At 49.1% G+C, this 17007-nt stretch overlaps 1 protein-coding gene across 1 annotated transcript in view, besides 1 other annotated feature; it reads left to right on the top strand.

The window, feature by feature from the left end:
* LMOD1 (leiomodin 1) overlaps window positions 1–17007 on the top strand; it is a 50093-nt gene that overhangs the window by 20225 nt on the left and 12861 nt on the right. The window lies entirely within an intron of this gene.
* Window positions 11615–12115: an enhancer, noted in NCBI's record as "H3K4me1 hESC enhancer chr1:201883337-201883837 (GRCh37/hg19 assembly coordinates)". NCBI's record gives its function as "activates a minimal SCP1, AML or CMV promoter by ChIP-STARR-seq in primed H9 embryonic stem cells {active_cell/tissue: H9 hESC(primed)}" and the evidence as "EXISTENCE:reporter gene assay evidence [ECO:0000049][PMID:30033119]".

Genomic DNA, 17007 nt, shown 5'->3' with positions numbered 1-17007 from the left:
TGATGGGTGAAACAAAGCCCCTAAAAGAGAAAAAAGACTCACTGGGCACTGGAAACGCAGAGACTTATGGTCAGCTCACAGCACAGACACTCCATAGCCCAGAGAAACATAAGGCCACACATGTTATTCTTTTAGAGGATCAAGTTCCTAATATTGGACCATCTGCCAAGCAGAGCAAAGCCCCACCTCCCTCTCGCTTTGACTCCCTGTGGGGAAATGTGTCGGTTTGTATGCAGTATAGATAGAGCACATATGCCTGGTTTTTCTTCCTTTGGGGAGGAAAAAAATGTTACTACCTAAAAAGAAAACTGGCTGGGTGTGGTGGCTCACACTTGTAATTCCAACACTTTGGGAGGCTGAGATGGGAGGCCTGCTTGAGCCCAGGAGTTCGAGACCAGCCTGGGCAACACAGGGAGACCCCGCCCCCCAGTCTCTCCAAAAGAATTTAAAAATTAGCCAGGAATGGTGGTGCACGCCTGTGGTTCCAGCTACTTGGGAAACTGAGGTGGGAGGATCACTTGAGCCTGGGAGGTTGAGGCTGCAGTTAGCCATGATCACACCACTGCACTCCAGCCTGGGCACAAAGGAAGACCCTGTCTCAAAAAAATTTAAAAAATTAAAAATAGAAAAGAGAAAGAGATTGAAAAAAAAAAAAACAAGCCTCCAGCCTTGAAAAATTTCAGGTCTTGGGTGGATGTCAAGAAGAGAAGGTCAACTGGTTCATCCTCCTGCTTCTACAGGGCCCTACCCTAAAAACATTCCACACCAATACCAAACCATAACCAAATGGTCATGCAAAGTAATTTTCCCCTTCCAAGAAAAATGGAAAGTGTCTTACTCCCAGAAGCTTGTAGGTAAGTACTTAGTTGCTGTCTTAGAACATCACACAATATGCCCCAGCTCATCCATGCGCAATAAAAGCAGAACCTAATGCCTTGGGTCTGAAGATTTATGGGCTTCCACATACGTTATCTCTTTTGATCCTTGCTTCAGCCTTATAAGGTAGACAGGGGAGGTAAATTTTAATCTACTTGACAGGTGAAGAATCTGAGGCTTAGAGAGGTCACCAGCTGGTGGCCAAGGAAGATCTTTTTTTTTTTCTTTTTTTTTTGAGCTGGAGTTTTGCTCTTGTAGCCCAGGCTGGAGTACAGTGGCACAATCTCAGCTCACTGCAACCTCTGCCTCCTGGGTTCAAGCAATTCTCCTGCCTGAGCCTCATGAGCTGGGCTTACAGGTGGGCGCCACCATGCTGGCTAATTTTTGCATTTTTAGTAGAGACAGCGTTTCACTATGTCGGCCATGGCTGGCCTTGAACTCCTGACCTCAAATGATCTGCCCGCCTCAGCCTCCCAAAGTGCTGGGACTACAGGTATGAGCCACCACGCTCAGCCGGAATATCTTGAACTCTTTTCTTTGTCTCTCTCTTTTTTCTTTTTCCAGAGATAGGGTCTTGCTCTGTCACACACACTAGAGTGCAATGGTGCAGTCATAACTCACTGCAGCCTTGAACTCCTGGCTTCATCCTCCGGCCTCAGCCTCCCAAGTAGCTACGACTGCAGGCACATGCCACTATGACTGGCTATTTCTTTCTTTTCTTTCTTTCTTTCTTTCTTTCTTTCTTTCTTTCTTTCTTTCTTTCTTTCTTTCTTTCTTTCTTTTTTTTCTTTCTTTCTCTCTTTCTTTCTTTATTCTTCCTTTCTTTCTTCTTTCTTTTCCTTCCTTCCTTCCCTCCCTCCCTCCTTCCTTCCTTCCTTCCCTCCCTCCCTCCTTCCTTGCTTCCTTCCTTCCTTCCTTCCCTTCCTCCCTCCTTCCTTGCTTCCTTCCCTCCCTCCCTCCTTCCTTGCTTCCTTCCTTCCTTCCTTCCCTCCCTCCCTCCTTCCTTGCTTCCTTCCTTCCTTCCCTTCCTCCCTCCTTCCTTGCTTCCTTCCTTCCTTCCTTCCTTCCCTCCCTCCCTCCCTCTCTCCCTCCCTCCTTCCCTTGCTTTCTTTTTTTTTTTTTTTGAGACAGAGTCTTGCTCTGTCACCCAGGCTGGAGTGCAGTGGCGCTATCTCGGCTCACTGCAAGCTCCGCCTCCCGGGTTCACGCCATTCTCCTGCCTCAGCCTGCTGAGTAGCTGGGACTATAGGTGCCCGCCACCGCTCCCGGCTAATTTTTTTTTTTTTTGGTATTTTATTAGAGATGGGGTTTCACCGTGTTAGCCAGGATGGTCTTGATCTCCTGACCTCGTGATCTGCCCGCCTCGGCCTCCCAAAGTGCTGGGATTACAGGCGTGAGCCACTGTGCCCAGCCTCTCTCTTTCTTTTCTTTTTCTTTCTTTTCTCTTTCTTTCTTTTCTTTTTCTTTCTTTTCTTTCCTTTTTCTTTTTCTTTCCTTTCTTTCCTTTTCTTTCTTTCTCTCTCTCTCTCTCTCTCTCTCCCTCCCTCTCTCTCTCTCTCTCTCTTTTTCTTCTTTCTTGTTGAGACAGCATCACACTCCCGGTCACCCAGGCTAGAATACAGTGGCACGATCACAGCTCAAGGCGACCTCGACTTCTAGGCCTCATATGATTCTCCCACTTCAGCCTCCTGAGTAACTGGGACTACAGGCGTGCATCACCACATTCAGCTAACGTTTTGTATTTTTAGTAGAGATGGGGTTTTGCCATGTTGCCCAGGCTAGTCTCGAACTCCTGAACTCAAGCAATCTGCCCCCCGTTGGCCTCTCAAAGTGCTGGGATTACAGGCATGAGACACTGTGCCCGGCTACAATTAAAAACAATTTTTTTTTCAATAGACAGGGTCTCACTATGTTGTCCAGGCTGATCTCAAACTCCTGGTCTCAAGGGATCCTCCTGCCTCAGACTCCTGAGTAGCTGGGATTACAGACTTGAGCCACTGTGCTGGCTCTGAACACTTTCTTTTGACCTCAAGTTGCAACAAACTGTGCATAACTTAATAGAAAAAATAATCTGTCCCTCCAGCCTTCTTTTTGGGCCTCCATCTGAATGGGAGATGCATCTCTTTGTTCAGCAGTTATGAAGCATCCACTGTGTGTCAAATTCCAGGATGGGTGTTGCTCAGTCTTGGTGGCCCTTTCAGCAGCAGCTTTCCTGTCACCGTGCTGCACTCTGGAAACCCTCTGCACTCTGAGATGGGTACTGGCCATGCTCCAGCGCTGCCCTCTGGGAGACCCTGGGGAAGGGCTGTCAAGAGTCACTCCTGGCCTGGCGCAGTGGCTCACGCCTGTAATCCCAGCACTTTGGGAGGCCGAGACGGGTGGATCACCTGAGGTCAAGAGTTTGACACCAGCCTGGCCAACATGGTGAAACCCTATCTCTACTAAAAATACAAACGTTAGCCGGGCATGGTGGTGCGCACCTGTAATCCCAGCTACTCGTGAGGCTGAGGCAGGAGAATTACTTGAACCCAGGAAGCGAAGGTTGCAGTGAGCCGAGATCGTGCCACTGCACTCCAGCCTGGGTGACAGAGTGAGACTCCATCTCAAAAAAAAAATTCACTCCTTTAAAATACCCAATGCAGTGTTTTTAGAAAAAAAGCAGTATTCAGTATATTCGGCAAATATACTGAATATAATAGTGTATTATATATATTATATTATATATAACAATATTATATTCAGTATATTCAGTGTGAATATATATTCAGTATATTCACAAAGTTGTACAACACCACTACCTGATTCCAGAATATTTTCATCAGTCCCAAAAGAAACCCCACAGCTATCATCAGTGACCCTTCATTTCTCCTCCCACCAGCCACTGGCAACCGCTAATCCATTTTCTGTCTCTACAGATTTGCCTATTCTGGACATTTTGTGTACATGGAATCGTAAAATATGTGGTCTTTCAGATCTGGCTTCTTTCAGTTATGTTTTCAAGGTTCATCCATGATAGAGCATGGTACTTTATTCCTTTTAATGGCTGAATATTATACCATTTTAATGAGGTATGACATTTTGCTGAGTCATTCTTCAGTTAATAGACTTTGGGTGCTTTCCATTTGGGGGCTAATAGGAGTAATGCTGCTGTGAACATTTGTGTGGAAGCTTTTTGTGGACATATATTTTCAATTCTCTTGGGTCTGTATTGAGGCATGCAATTGCTGGGTCATGTGGCAACTCTATGTTTAACTTTTTGAGGAACTGCCAGACTGTTTTCCCAAGTGGTTGCACTATTTATATCTTACCAGCAACATACAAGGGGTCCAATTTCTCCACATCCTTGTCCACACTTATTATTGTCTGTCTTTTTGATTATAGACACCCAATAGGTGTGAAGTATATCTCATCACGGTTTTGCCAATCTCAAAGGGCATGGATTTTGTTTCATTAAATAATGTGGTGATTTTCTTTTTCTTTTTTTTTTTGAGATGGAATCTCACTCTGTCGCCCAGGCTGGAGTGCACTGGCATGATCTCAGCTCACTGCAAGCTCTGCCTCCCGGGTTCACGCCATTCTCCTGCCTCAGCCTCCCGAGCAGCTGGGACTACAGGCGCCCACCACCACGCCTGGCTAATTTTTTGTATTTTTAGTAGAGATGGGGTTTCACTGTGTTAGCCAGGATGGTCTCGATCTCCTGACCTCGTGATCCGCCCGCCTCAGCCTCCCAAAGTGCTGGGATTATAGGCATGAGCCACTGCATCCGGCCATAATGCGGTGATTTTCTTGACCTATTCTGTAAGTCCCTTTCCTCTTCCTGATAACTCACTTTTCAGAGTCACCATATTTACTCCCGTGGTTTTCATTGCTACGTATACACCAATGACTCCCAAACCTACCTGTCAAGCCTAGATCTCCTTTCTGAGCCCCAGATCTTTTTTTTTTTTTTTTTTTTTTTTTGAGATGGAGTCTCACTCTGTCGCCCAGGCTGGAGGGCAGTGGTGCAATCTCAGCTCACTGCAACCTCCACCTCCTGGGGTCAAGCAGTTCTCCAACCTCAGCCTCACGAGTAGCTGGGACTGCAGGCTCGCACCACCATGCCCAGCTAATTTTTGTATTTTTAGTAGAGATGGGGTTTCACTATGCTGGCCAGGCTAGCCTCGAACTCCTGACCTCGTGATCTGCCCGCCTCAGCCTCCCAAAGTGCTGGGATTACAGGTGTGAGCCACTGCGCCCAGCCCAGATCTTTATTAATGCCAACCTGTTAGGCATTTAAATTTTGTCATGGCCAAAACAGTTGATCATCTCAAGTGCCACCCTCATCTCCCCGCTCCATATTCCCCGCCATGGTTATAAGCATCACTCTCTAACCAGGCAACCAAACTGGAAATCAGGGAGTCATCCTCCACTTCTCCTCGGCATTGTCCACTTCACTGAATCTTATTAACTGTACCCTAGAAATGTCCATGGAATGCATCTCCACTCCTCTGTGTTCACTGCTCAGCCTGGTCCAAGATCTCATCATTTCCTTTCTTTTTTTCTCTTCTTTCTTACTTTTTTATTTATTTATTTATTTTTATTTTTAGAAACAGGGTCACACTATGTTGCCCAGGCTGGTCTCAAACTCCTGGGCTCAAGCAAGCCTCCTGCCTTGGCTTCCCAAAGTGCTGAGATTACAGGCGTGAGCCACCGCGCCCAGCCTCCCACCCCCTATTCTATATTCGCTGGGTCCTGCACTGTGTAGAGGCCACTTGGCCTCCTTGATTTAATGGCTTGACATCCTTGTTTGCTCCCTGTCTTCCCAGTAGGTCTTGGCTTTTCTTTCTCCCTTCCAGTAGAATATCCAGACCCACCTCCTAATTGTCCTTGAGCTTAAAGACTCAGCTTACTCCTCAGCTATTTCTCAACTATGATTGACTTCCTCAGCAAGCAAGTGGAATTCTGGTCTCTGTGGCCTTGGCATAGGAAAAACCGGTGTCTCCAAGGGCCTCAGCTGCTAAAAGGGAGCTGCATTTAGGAGTTGTATTGACCCTGTAGCATGATGTCTTTCCAGAACAATTCACAAGGCCTGGGAAAGTATGTCATTTTACTGGGGTAGTAATCCCCAGTCAGAGAGTCAATGGTGGGTGGGAGGCTGAGGCGGGCGGATCGTCTGAGGTCAGGAGTTCAAGACCAGCCTGGCCAACATGGAGAAACCCTGTCTCTGCTAAAAATACAAAAATTAACCAGGCGTGGTGGTGGGTGCCTGTAATCCCAGCTACTTGGGAGGCTGAGGCAGGAGAATCACTTGAACCCCGGAGGTTGAGGTTGCAGTGAGCCAAGATCATGCCATTGCACCCCAGCTGCCTGGGTGACAAGAACAAAACTTGGTCTCAAAAAAAAAAAAAAAAAAAAAAAAAAAAGAGAGAGAGCCAGTGGCGGGTGGAGATGGCATTGAAGCCAATATATTCCTTCTACTCTTTGAAGTCCTGGGCTCTTCTGGAGACTTTAGGAAGACACTGAAAAAGGCTGCTTACAATAGTTTAGTGGCCAGGATGGAGAGATGTGGACTGGAAGGTGATGCAGGTGGATGCTGATTGGTGGCTCCCTGGAGGCCTGTAGTAGGATACCAGAGAGTTCTGCCCTGGAGTCTGCCCTGGTTAGTGGACAAAAAGATCCAGAAGGCACATGTACCACACTGGCAGATTATCTGAAGCTGAGAGTCACAGTGAGCTTTTAAACAGCAGAACCAGGATTTAGAAAATTCTAGTCAGGCTGGAATGGCAGGCTTAGTCTAACAGATGAACTTTTCTAGCCCACAGAAAAGCAGCCTCAGGGAGAGGACCCAATACCTACAGAGCACTCACATAGAAGAGAAGGGGTCACCTTGCTTTATACAGTCCCTGGGAATAACAGGACCAAATGGGCTTTCTGACACAGAGTCAGGTTAAAAAAGAAGAAAAGGGGCCAGGCGTGGTGGCTCATGCCTGTAATCCCAGCACTTTGGGAGGCCAAGGCAGGCAGATCACCTGAGGTCAGGAGTTTGAGACCAGCCTGGCCAACATGGTGAAACCCCGTCTCTACTAAAAATACAAAATCAGCCGGGCATGGTGGTGGGCACCTGTAATCCCAGCTACTTGGGAGGCTGAGGCAGGAAAATTGCTTGAACCCAGGAGGCGGAGGTTGCAGTGAGTACCACTGCACTCCAGCCTGGGTGAAGGACTGAGGCTCTGACCCCCCAAAAAAAAAAAAGTTTCTGTCTTTTAGAGATACACACTGAGGCCAGGCATGGTGGCTCACACCTGTAATCCCAGCAAAAGTGAGGCCAAGGCGGGAGGATTGCTTGAGGCCAGGAGTTTGAGACCAGCCTGAGCAACATAGCAAGACCCCAGATCTACAAAAATAAAAGTTAGCCAGGCATGGTGGCACATGCCTGTAGTCCTAGATACTCGGAAAGCTGAGGCAGGAGGATCACTTGAGCCCAGGAGTTTGAGGTTATAGTGAGCTATGATCATACCACTACACTCCAGCCTGGGTGACAGAGTGAGACCCTGTCCCTAAAAAAGAAATAGAGTACACACTGAAATATGTATGCATGAAATGATACACCTGGAATTTGCTTTCAAATAATGTGAGATTGTGACAAAAATGGGTGGGCATCAGATGAAACAAGATTGGCCATATGTAGAGAATCGCTGAAGCTGGGCAATGGGTACCTTGAGGTTCATTGTGCTGTTCTCTCTAGTTTGTTGTACAGTCGAACTTTTCCACATATAAAGTTAAAAAGAAGGAGGAGGAACAAAAGAAGAAGTGTTAGCCAGGCAGAGAAGAAAGCGAGAGGACATCCTGTGTGGCAGGAGCAGCATGCATAGGCAACAAGACCCAAGAGAGCCCAGCATGGGGTAGGGCAGCAAGACCCAAGAGAGCCCAGCGTGGCTGTTCCTCACTGTAACCAGAGTGCAGGCAGGAAGGGGAGGGCGCACAGAGGCAGGCACAGGCCAGGTCACGGAGGGCTTTGTTGCCATGCTACAAAGTCTGCACTTCATCCTGAAAGCATGGGAGCCATGGATCAGAATCACATTTTGAAAGGTCTTTCTGGAGACAGAGTGCACTCAAAGAGAAGGAAGACAGGAGGCAGGGGGTTCAGTGGGGAGGCAAGAGATGATGGAGGCCGCAAACACAGCAATGGTGAGGGGATGTGAGGAAGCTAATCTCAGCTATGTTAGGAAGGTGGGATGAAGGGAACGTGGTGAGGGAAAAAGGAAGCGTCAAGGCTGATGTCCCAGTGTCTGTGGGGTGGGAGAGCCATTCCTGAAGAGGGAGAAGGCGGGAAGACAGAGAGCTGCACCATCCCTGATCCCTGGCCTCTTAGGCCTAGGACTGGCTACAGAATTTGCAGGGCTTAGCGCAAAATGAAAATGTGCTCAAGAATTACTAAAACTTTCAAGACGATGACAGCAGAGAATTAAACCAAGCGTAGGGCCCTCTGAGCATGGGGCCCTGGAGCACTGCAGAGGTCAGACACCATAAAGCTGCTCCTGCTTTAGCCAATGTACCCTTTTCTGTTTAGAAGGAACAGGAGAGGGGCTGTATGAAAGCCAGGCCTCCTGCTCACAGCCCCAGGCAGTAAAAGAACAGTATGTTCCTTCTGCCACCCTCCGGGACCTAAGTGGGACCCAGAAGCCTGGGACAAATAGCTTGCATTTGTGTAGATCTTTACAACATTTCCCAGACTTGCTTGGGTTTTCCTTGGTGCTGGGATAAAATGAAGAAGCAGAAAGTACTAGCCAGGCACTTCAGAGAGCAGAGTGCTACAGTGACTTGTTTATCTCCCCAAAGAGATTTCCCGGTTTCTCCAAAAATGGGGTTTGCTACAAGCTTCCCAGTATGAGTCACCAGACCAGTTGGCAAAGCATTTAGTTCTGCTGAGAGCAATGGAGTTGACCCTTCATTGGCCGAGAAGATCTGCCACAAGAACCTTCATCCCCCTAGTGATGGGTTCTGCATAACCCCCAGGCAGAAGCCAGAATGGCGCTGACTGTGAAGTCTTAGCTATTGCAGGCTGTGTTGCATGCCCTCACCTCAAAACGCCTCTGTCTTTCTCTACTTGCAGTGAATGCAGAAGCCTTGGTGGTAGGGGTAAGGGCCTAGGTGAAACACAGACACCGCTCACCGTGCCTTCCTTTCTGGTGCCTCTTGATGGCTCTTGGCAGGCTTTTGAGGTCAGGCCACCTTCCCCCATTTACCATCCCTTTCACTAGAAACCCTGGTCCTTAAAGACTCAAGGCAGGCAAGAACCCTCCCAGCCTTGGCAGAGTTTGGTGACACATGCAGTGTAAGTGCCCAGCCACCCACATCTGCACATTATCCTTGTCTTTTCCAGAAGGTTTCTTTGCTCCCCTTCCCTACAAAGACAGAGCAGGCCCTGAGATGGTGGCGTTCACTCCTCTTGTAAAGCCTGGTCTCCCGCAGGACTGCATCAGAAAATGCCCTTTTTTTCCCAGGTTCACAAACCGCTGCCCTTTTCTTGGCTGCCATTGCGCCACTCCGACCCCTGGAGATCATCTTGGGAGGTAAAAATGAATCATGGCGTTTCTGTTTATGCTGGAGCTGGAGGCAGTGCCTGAGACCCTTTGGCCCTCTGCTCAGCACTGATGTTTATCACCGGGGCTGATGTGTAATTGCTGGAACAGAGCCAGGCGAAGGTCAGGCTGCGAGGCAGGTCCTGGGCACAGCACAGCCGGGCTGAAGACTGAGCACAGTGACGGGGAATCCCCTCCCTCCCACCTCTGGCCCCATCCATCCCTCCTCCCCACACCACGGCCTGATGCCTCTTGGTTTTTAATTTTGTTTTGTTTTTGCTGTGAAACTCAGTTATTTAAAGACAATTTTGTTTCTTTTTCATAAAACAGCTTTTGTTGGTTTTTGTTTTGTTTTGTTTTGTTTTGTTTTTTGAGACAGGGTCTCTCTCTGTTGCTCAGGCTGGAGTGCAGTGGCATGATCACGGCTCACTGCAACCTCGACCTCCCTTGGCTCAGGTGATCCTCTCACCTCAGCCTCCCAGGTAGCTAGGGCTACAAGCACATGCCACCACGCCTGGCTAATGTTTGTATTTTTTGTAGAGATGGAGTTTCACCATGTTGCCCAGGACGGTCTTGAACTCCTGGGCTCCAGCTTCCCCTCACCCTGACCTTCCAAAGTCCTGGAATAGATGTGCCTTTGTTGTATTTTTCTGATCATAAAAGTAGTTCAAGCCAGGTGTGGTGGCTCACACCGTAATCTCAGCACTCCGAGAGGCCAAGGTGTGTGGATCGCTTGAGCCCAGAAGTTTAAGACCAGCCTGGGCAACATGGCGAAACCCCGTCTCTACAAAAAATACAAAAATCCGCTGGGTGTGGTGGTGCATGCCTGTAGTAGCAGCTACCTAGGAGGCTGAGGTGGGAGGATCACAAGCTGGAGGAAGTCAAGGCTGCAGTGAGCCGTGTCACACCACTGCACTGCAGCCCAGAGGAGAGAATGAGACCTTGTATCAAAAAAAAAAAGTTCAGACATTAGACACTGAAAGGCTTCGGATGGGTCTGGCCTTCAGCAAGGTCCCTGGGGCTGCCGTGCAAGGATCGCCCTGGAGGAGGTCAGCGAAACCGAGAGGAGGTTGTTGCTATAACCCCATGAGAGGTGATAGTGGCCTGGACCAAGGGAACATCTGTGAGGATGGAGGAGAGGGATTGATCTGAGTGGGGTTCAGGCTGTAGTATCTGTGTGCAGGTAACGAGGGAGTATATAATAGGTCGATTTCCCAGCCTTCCCCCAAAATCACTTGGGCTACTGGTAGGGAAGGGTGAGTGAGTGCAGAGCGGGGTGCAGAGGGGTCCACGTTGCCTCCCCACAGATCCCTCCTTTCCTCTTCCCAGCCGGGTTCTGATTGGAGTCACTGGGTGTTTAGAGGAGCCACTTGCCCAGATAGGGAATAGTGCAGGGGTCGGCAAGGCAGTGGGGGAAGATAAGGAGTCCAGTTTTTGAGGTACTTTGGGGCACACAAACCAAGATATTCATTAGACGGTACTACCTTCCTAGTAGTGTCTGGCCCAGAGATCCAGCTTTGAGAGACATCAGTACGTAGAATGCAGCTGATGCCATCAGAATGGATGAGATAATCCGGTGAGAGGCTCTAAAGGTGAAAACAAAGGAGGCCTAAAATAAGACCTTGCCAACACCCACATGTCTCAAGGAAGAGGGTCCTTGAAGGAGGCCTAAAGGAGCTATCAGAGAGCTAGGAGGAAAGCCATGAAGGCTGCGGTGGAAACCGATGGGGAAGCGTTTTGAAGGAAGGACCTGGCCAATAGCGCCAGATGCTTCCCACGCAGTTTGAGCAATATATGAAATAAAAGATAAATCCGACTTAGTGACAGGAGGGTCAGAAGTGATCTGGATGAAACTAATTTCCATGGAATGTTGGGGGTGAGGCAAGAGTGTGTTGGATTGAGGAATGAATACGGATCAAAAAGTAGAGCTCTTTGAGGAAGTTTGGGTATACGGGAAGGCTGGCGCTACAGCTGGAAGGGACTGTGGACAGAAGGAGGATCTGATTAACCGGGAGAGATGGGCAGGTTTAAAGGGTGGTGGGAAGGGGCCAGGAAAGAGGGAGAGGCTAAGGCTGTGGAAGAGGGTGCGGGAGTGCAATGTGGGGAGGAGGGGTGGGCACCAGAGTGCGTGGGGAGGGGTGAGCCTGGGCAGGAGGAGAGGGAAGGTGAAAGATGAGCCTGGAGGTGAGTTTGTAGAAGAGGTGGCAGGAAGTTGGAGAATTGCCATGGGTTGTTTCCTCTGTCTGCCTGGGAAGAAATTAGAGGAGATTGTCTGCCAAGAATAGGGGTGGAGTGGGACGAGAGATACTAAGAGAAGGGAGAAGAATTCGGATAGATGCTATGAAGAACCAGGAGAGAGCTAGACCCATAATGACAGTTACCTTTTATTGAAAGCTTCCTGTGCAGCCACAGGAAGTGGATGTGTTATCCACTCACCTCAATGAAGCCTTAATACCGCCCCGTACCAGATGTGATCCCCGTTTTACAGATGAGGAAGGCAAATTAACCTGTCCATGTTGACATAAGAGCAAAGTGTGGAACCCTGGCCTTCTGACTCTCAAGCTGGTCCTCAGCATTGGCGCCACTTGTGAGTGTTAGGGTTCACAGGGGCTGCAGACAGTGGACGGCACCACGTGGGGTGTGGGCTACTCTCCCCAGATAGCCCAGCACCTGGGAGGAGGAGCCACACAGGCCTGCAGTCAGTGCTTTGGCTGTAGGGTTGGGGCTTTGGCTGGCACGTGTGACTGGGGTTGAGGATACTGGCAAGGTGATGACTGACGTGCTGGATAGAACAAGAGGTGAAGCAGTCAAGGTGGGTGGTGCAGAGAAGTCAGAATTTGGGTCTCATGGCCAGCGGTTCCACTTTTGGGTCCATCTACACTCCCAAAGAGTTGAAAGCAAGGACCCACACAGATATGTTCATAGCAGCATTATTCACAATAGCCAAAAACAGCCCAAGTGTCTATCAATGGATGAATAGATAAACAAGCTACATAAATTATACATTTTATGTATAATTTACATAAAATGCTAAAATTATCAAGGTATATACATACAATGGAATACTATTCAGCCTTAAACAGGAAGGAAACTCTGAATTCAAATTTTGGAGGTGTCCCCATTTCACAGGCAGCAGCCTCCATTTGGCAGGGCTTAAGCCTCACTCTTGCCCACATACCTTCCTCAGCAGCAAAAGGGTTAGCAATGATCTAGATGAGAATTGAGGATTAAGGAGGCGAGCCTTGTCCTGGAACAGCATAGTTTTTATTTTTTTTCTTTTGAGACAGAGTCTGGCTCTGTCGCTCAGGCTGGAGTGCAGTCGTGCAATCTCAGCTCACTGCAACCTCTGCCTCCTGACTTCGGACGATTCTCCTGCTTCAGCCTCCTGAGTAGCTGAGATTACAGGTGCTGACCACCATGCCCGGCTAATTTTTTGTATTTTTGGTAGAGATGGGGTTTCACCATGTTGCCCAGGCTGGTCTCGAGCTGGTGACCTCAAGTGATCCACCCGCCTCGGCCTCCCAAAGTGCCGGGATTACATGCATGAGCCACTGTGCCCAGCCTGAAACATCACTTTCTGAGTGGTGATCCAAGGAAAAGCCACTAAAGAAAGTAGCTAACAGAGGACAGTTCTGGGAGTTGTGTCTTTGCTTGATGCTGACAAGTCTCTTGTTTGCTAAAACAAACTCAACTTCTTTCCAGCTGCTCAGTCCTTTGGGAGAAAGGGTGAAGATGGACAATAAAATGGCTGTCAGTCCCCCGCCTGGTCCCAGCTTCCCACCTCTGGCCCAGTGAGGCTGGGCTTCTCCTTGTTTACTACATTCCTTTAGGGAACGTCAGTGGTGGGCAGGCTCTGGGAGCTGGCCTGCCTTGCCTCGCTGCCTCTCAGCTCCCACCGCCTTCCTCACAGCCCTGGACATCCTCAAGTTTGCAGGCCTTAGCAGGTAACCAAACACCCTGGTGTCCTTCTCAGTGTGGACTCCAGGAAGTTTGTTTTTGTTTTCGTTTTTTCTGAGATGGAGTCTCACTCTGTCACCCACACTGTCACCTCTAGGCTGGGAGTGCAGTGGTGCCATCTCGGCTCACTGCAACCTCTGCCTCCCGGGTTCAAGTGATTCTCCTGCCTCAGCCTCCGGAGTAGCTGGGATTACAGGCGCCCGCCACCACGCCCGGCTAATTTTTGTGTTTTTAGTAGAGATGGGGTTTCACCATGTTGGTCAGGCTGGTCTCAAACTCCCGACCTCAGGTGATCCACCCACCTTGGCCTCCCAAAGTGCTGGGATTACAGGCATGAGCCACCGCACCTGGCTGACACCATTTTCTTATTCATTCATTCAGCAATTCTCAGCATCTACTATGTGCCAAGGCATCATACTGTGTGCCAGGCATCGAGTCAGTAATAAACCATATTTCATGTCCCTGATCCTGCAGGGGAGATGGACAAAGAAACAGAGTGATAGGGGCCAAGATAAGGGAGGGAGTGAAGGGAGCTGTGGGGGAGGGGGAGGAGAAGGGCTTGGGGGTCAGGGGTCACTTCCCAAAGCACACCATGCTTGATGCTGACATTGATCCTGGACCATGAGTAGAGTGAGGCCGGGTAAAAATGGGGTGGAGCAATGCCTGTGCGAAGGGACAATGTTGTAGGATGAAGCTTGGGTATAAGGAAGTAGATGAGGCTGCAGAGGGAAGCCTCTTCCTCTACATGCTCTGCTCCATCCATTTACCAAACTTCCACTCCTCCTTCAGGAACCAGCTCAAATGTCTCTGCCTGCATGGAACTTTCCTTCACTCCTTCCAGGTGCAACCTCCTGGCTCTGTGCTCCACATACATTAGCAGACTGGAAGGGCTTTCTCAGGCTTACTGTTTGCTTCTGCCAGAAACCCCCTGTGGATCTTGTTAGTGCTCAGCCAGGCCTCCTCCACAGGCCCTGCTCTGTGCCCCAGGCTCCCTGTAGTTAGTGCCATTCATGTATTCTTCGGGTTGCCTCTTCCCAGCCTTATTATGTTGTGGAGCATAGTTTTCCTACTTCCATTTATTTCCTTTTTGGCCTCAAAGTTAAGCACAGGCCTTTTCATTTGAGTCTCATTGCCAAGCACTGGGGAAAGCAACACAGGGAAGTCACAGAGTAAGGTGGCATACAGTGGAGGTCCCTAGGCCATAAACCCTGACTCCTGATGGTGTGAAAATTAGAAGCCCAATGGGTTTGTCTGTTTGTTTCAAGACAGGGTGGTCTCACTCCGTCGCCCAGGCTAGAGTGCAGTGGCATGATCTTGGCTCACTGCAACCTTCACCTCCCGGGTTCAAGGGATTCTCCTGCTTCAGCCTCCCGGGTAGCTGGGATTACAGGCACCCACCACCACGCCCGGCTAATTTTTGTATTTTTAGTACAGGTGGGGTTTCACCATGTTGGCCAGGCTGGTCTCAAACTCCTGACCTCAAGTGATCCGCACACATCGGTCTCCCAAAGTTCTGGGATTATAGGTGTGAGCCACTGCCCCCAGCCCCCAGTGGGTTTCTGACCTTGGCTTTAGTTTCTTGAGGCTGCCTTCTCCCTAACTCTGCCTTAGCAAAAGCCATCTGGACCTTTTCCTCTAGATGGTCCCTCCTCTCAGTCTGGCATGAAATCCAAGGGAATGCTGGAGAAACTTCCGGGGTGACATTCGATTCACCATCTCTCTGCAGAGATTCATACCTTATCTATCCCTGTGTCCCCAGAGCTGAGCCCAGTCCTTGGCACTTGAGTGCATCTGGCCAAATGATCACATGCCCAGATAGCTCTCTTTGGGTTTGTGTTGTGTGCTTTGCAGGGAGCTCCTGGCAGGAGTGTGGCATTCACTCCTTAGTGTATCACTGTGACCGTGGGGAGCACAGCATAGTAGTTAAGAGTATATGTGCTATAACCCAAGAGATCTGAGTGTGAACTCCAGTCCTCCCACTTACTACTGATATAGTTTAAGAATGACACCAGCCATGCAAGGTGGCGAACACCTGTAATCCCAGCTATTCGGGAGGCTGAGGCAGGAGAATCGCTTGAACCCAGGAGGCAGAGGTTACAGTGAGCTGAGATTGTGCCACTGCACTTCAGTCTGGGTGACAGACTGAGACTCCATCTCAAAAAAAAAAAAAAAAAAAAAAAAAAAAGAATGACACCATCTGCAAAAGGGGAAAATGTTACCACCGACTCCCAGAAACTGTAACTCCCCCTGAGCACACTGCCCAGAGGTAGTGAATTTGCAGCAGTTAATTTCTTAGGCACCACAGTAATGTGATGGTTGTTAAGACCATGATGATAAAAGCATACAGGCTGGGCATGGTGGCTCACACCTGTAATCCCAGCACTTTGGGAGGCTGAGGCAGGAGAATCGCTTGAGCACAGGAGTTCGAGACCAGACTGGGCAACATGGTGAAATGCATCTCTGGAAAACAAAACAAAACATAATAAAAATTAGTCAGGTGTTGTCATGCACGCTTGTAGTCCTAGCTACTCAGGAGCCTGAGGTGGGAAGATCGCTTGAGCCTGGGAGACGGAGGCTGCAGTGAGCCATGATTGCGCCACTGTACTCCAACCTAGGCAACAGGGTGAAACCCTGTCTCAAAAAAAAAAAAAAAAATGCGTATAGGAAACAGTGGGAAAGGAAGACCTCAAGGTAGAAGTGAAGGTGGGCACATGTGAAGGCCCCTGGCTCCCAGCAGCCCAAAAGGGCTCCTCCCTCAAGCCTCCTCTTGCTGAGACTGGAGCCTCACCAAGCTCTGCCCACTTCAGATGGCAGTGCTGAGGAGTCAATTACATCAATGACTTAAGTAAAGCACTTATTAGCACGGTGTCTTGCACCTTGTAAACACTAAGTGATGGCTGTGGATATTGTGATTAACATTCTTATTTCAGTGTTGGGTGGCTGGGGGTGAAGGGCTGTGTCTGGACCAGGCATTCAGGTGAAAGAGTGGCTTAGTACATAGCCCCACTAATGCAAAGAGCATAACATAGAGGTTAAAAGTTCAGACTCTAGAGCCTAAGAACCTGAACTTGAATCCTGCTTTATCGTGTAATAGCTGCATAATCTTGGGCTTCACTTTCTTCTGTAACATGGGGATGCGTTGTAGAGTCATCTGAGGACTGCATGAGTGCATAACTGGATGAGAGGCACCTGGGGCGGCATGGCAGCCAGCACTCACCACGGTTAGCTACTGTTATGCTGGAGAAGTGAGGTATTAGGAAGCTCTTGGGTACTCCCTGGACTAAAGATTTGGGGAAAAGGATTAAACTCAGGTTGTGGAACTTGACTTCTCAGGTGGACTGGCGACCAGGGATGGGGACCATGCCCTTCAGAAATATGGGCTCAAGGCCAGGTATGGCAGCTCACACCTGTAATCCCAGGACTTGAGAGGCCAAGGCAGGAGGATTGCTTGAGGCCAGGAGTTTGAGACCAGCCTGCAACATAAGACTCCGTCTCTTCCTCCCAAAAAAAGAAAAAGAAACAAAGAAAGAAATATGGGCTCAAAGCTATGAAATGAGCTCCTCCAGTGTTAGAATTTCTCTGGTTTCTTCACTGGATGGAAGGGGTGGCCATT

This window comes from Homo sapiens, chromosome 1 (assembly GCF_000001405.40).
Source record: "Homo sapiens chromosome 1, GRCh38.p14 Primary Assembly".
Taxonomy (NCBI): Eukaryota; Metazoa; Chordata; class Mammalia; order Primates; family Hominidae; genus Homo; species Homo sapiens.
The sequence above is the reverse complement of the archived record's forward strand: the minus strand, read 5'-3'. Positions and strand labels throughout refer to the sequence as shown.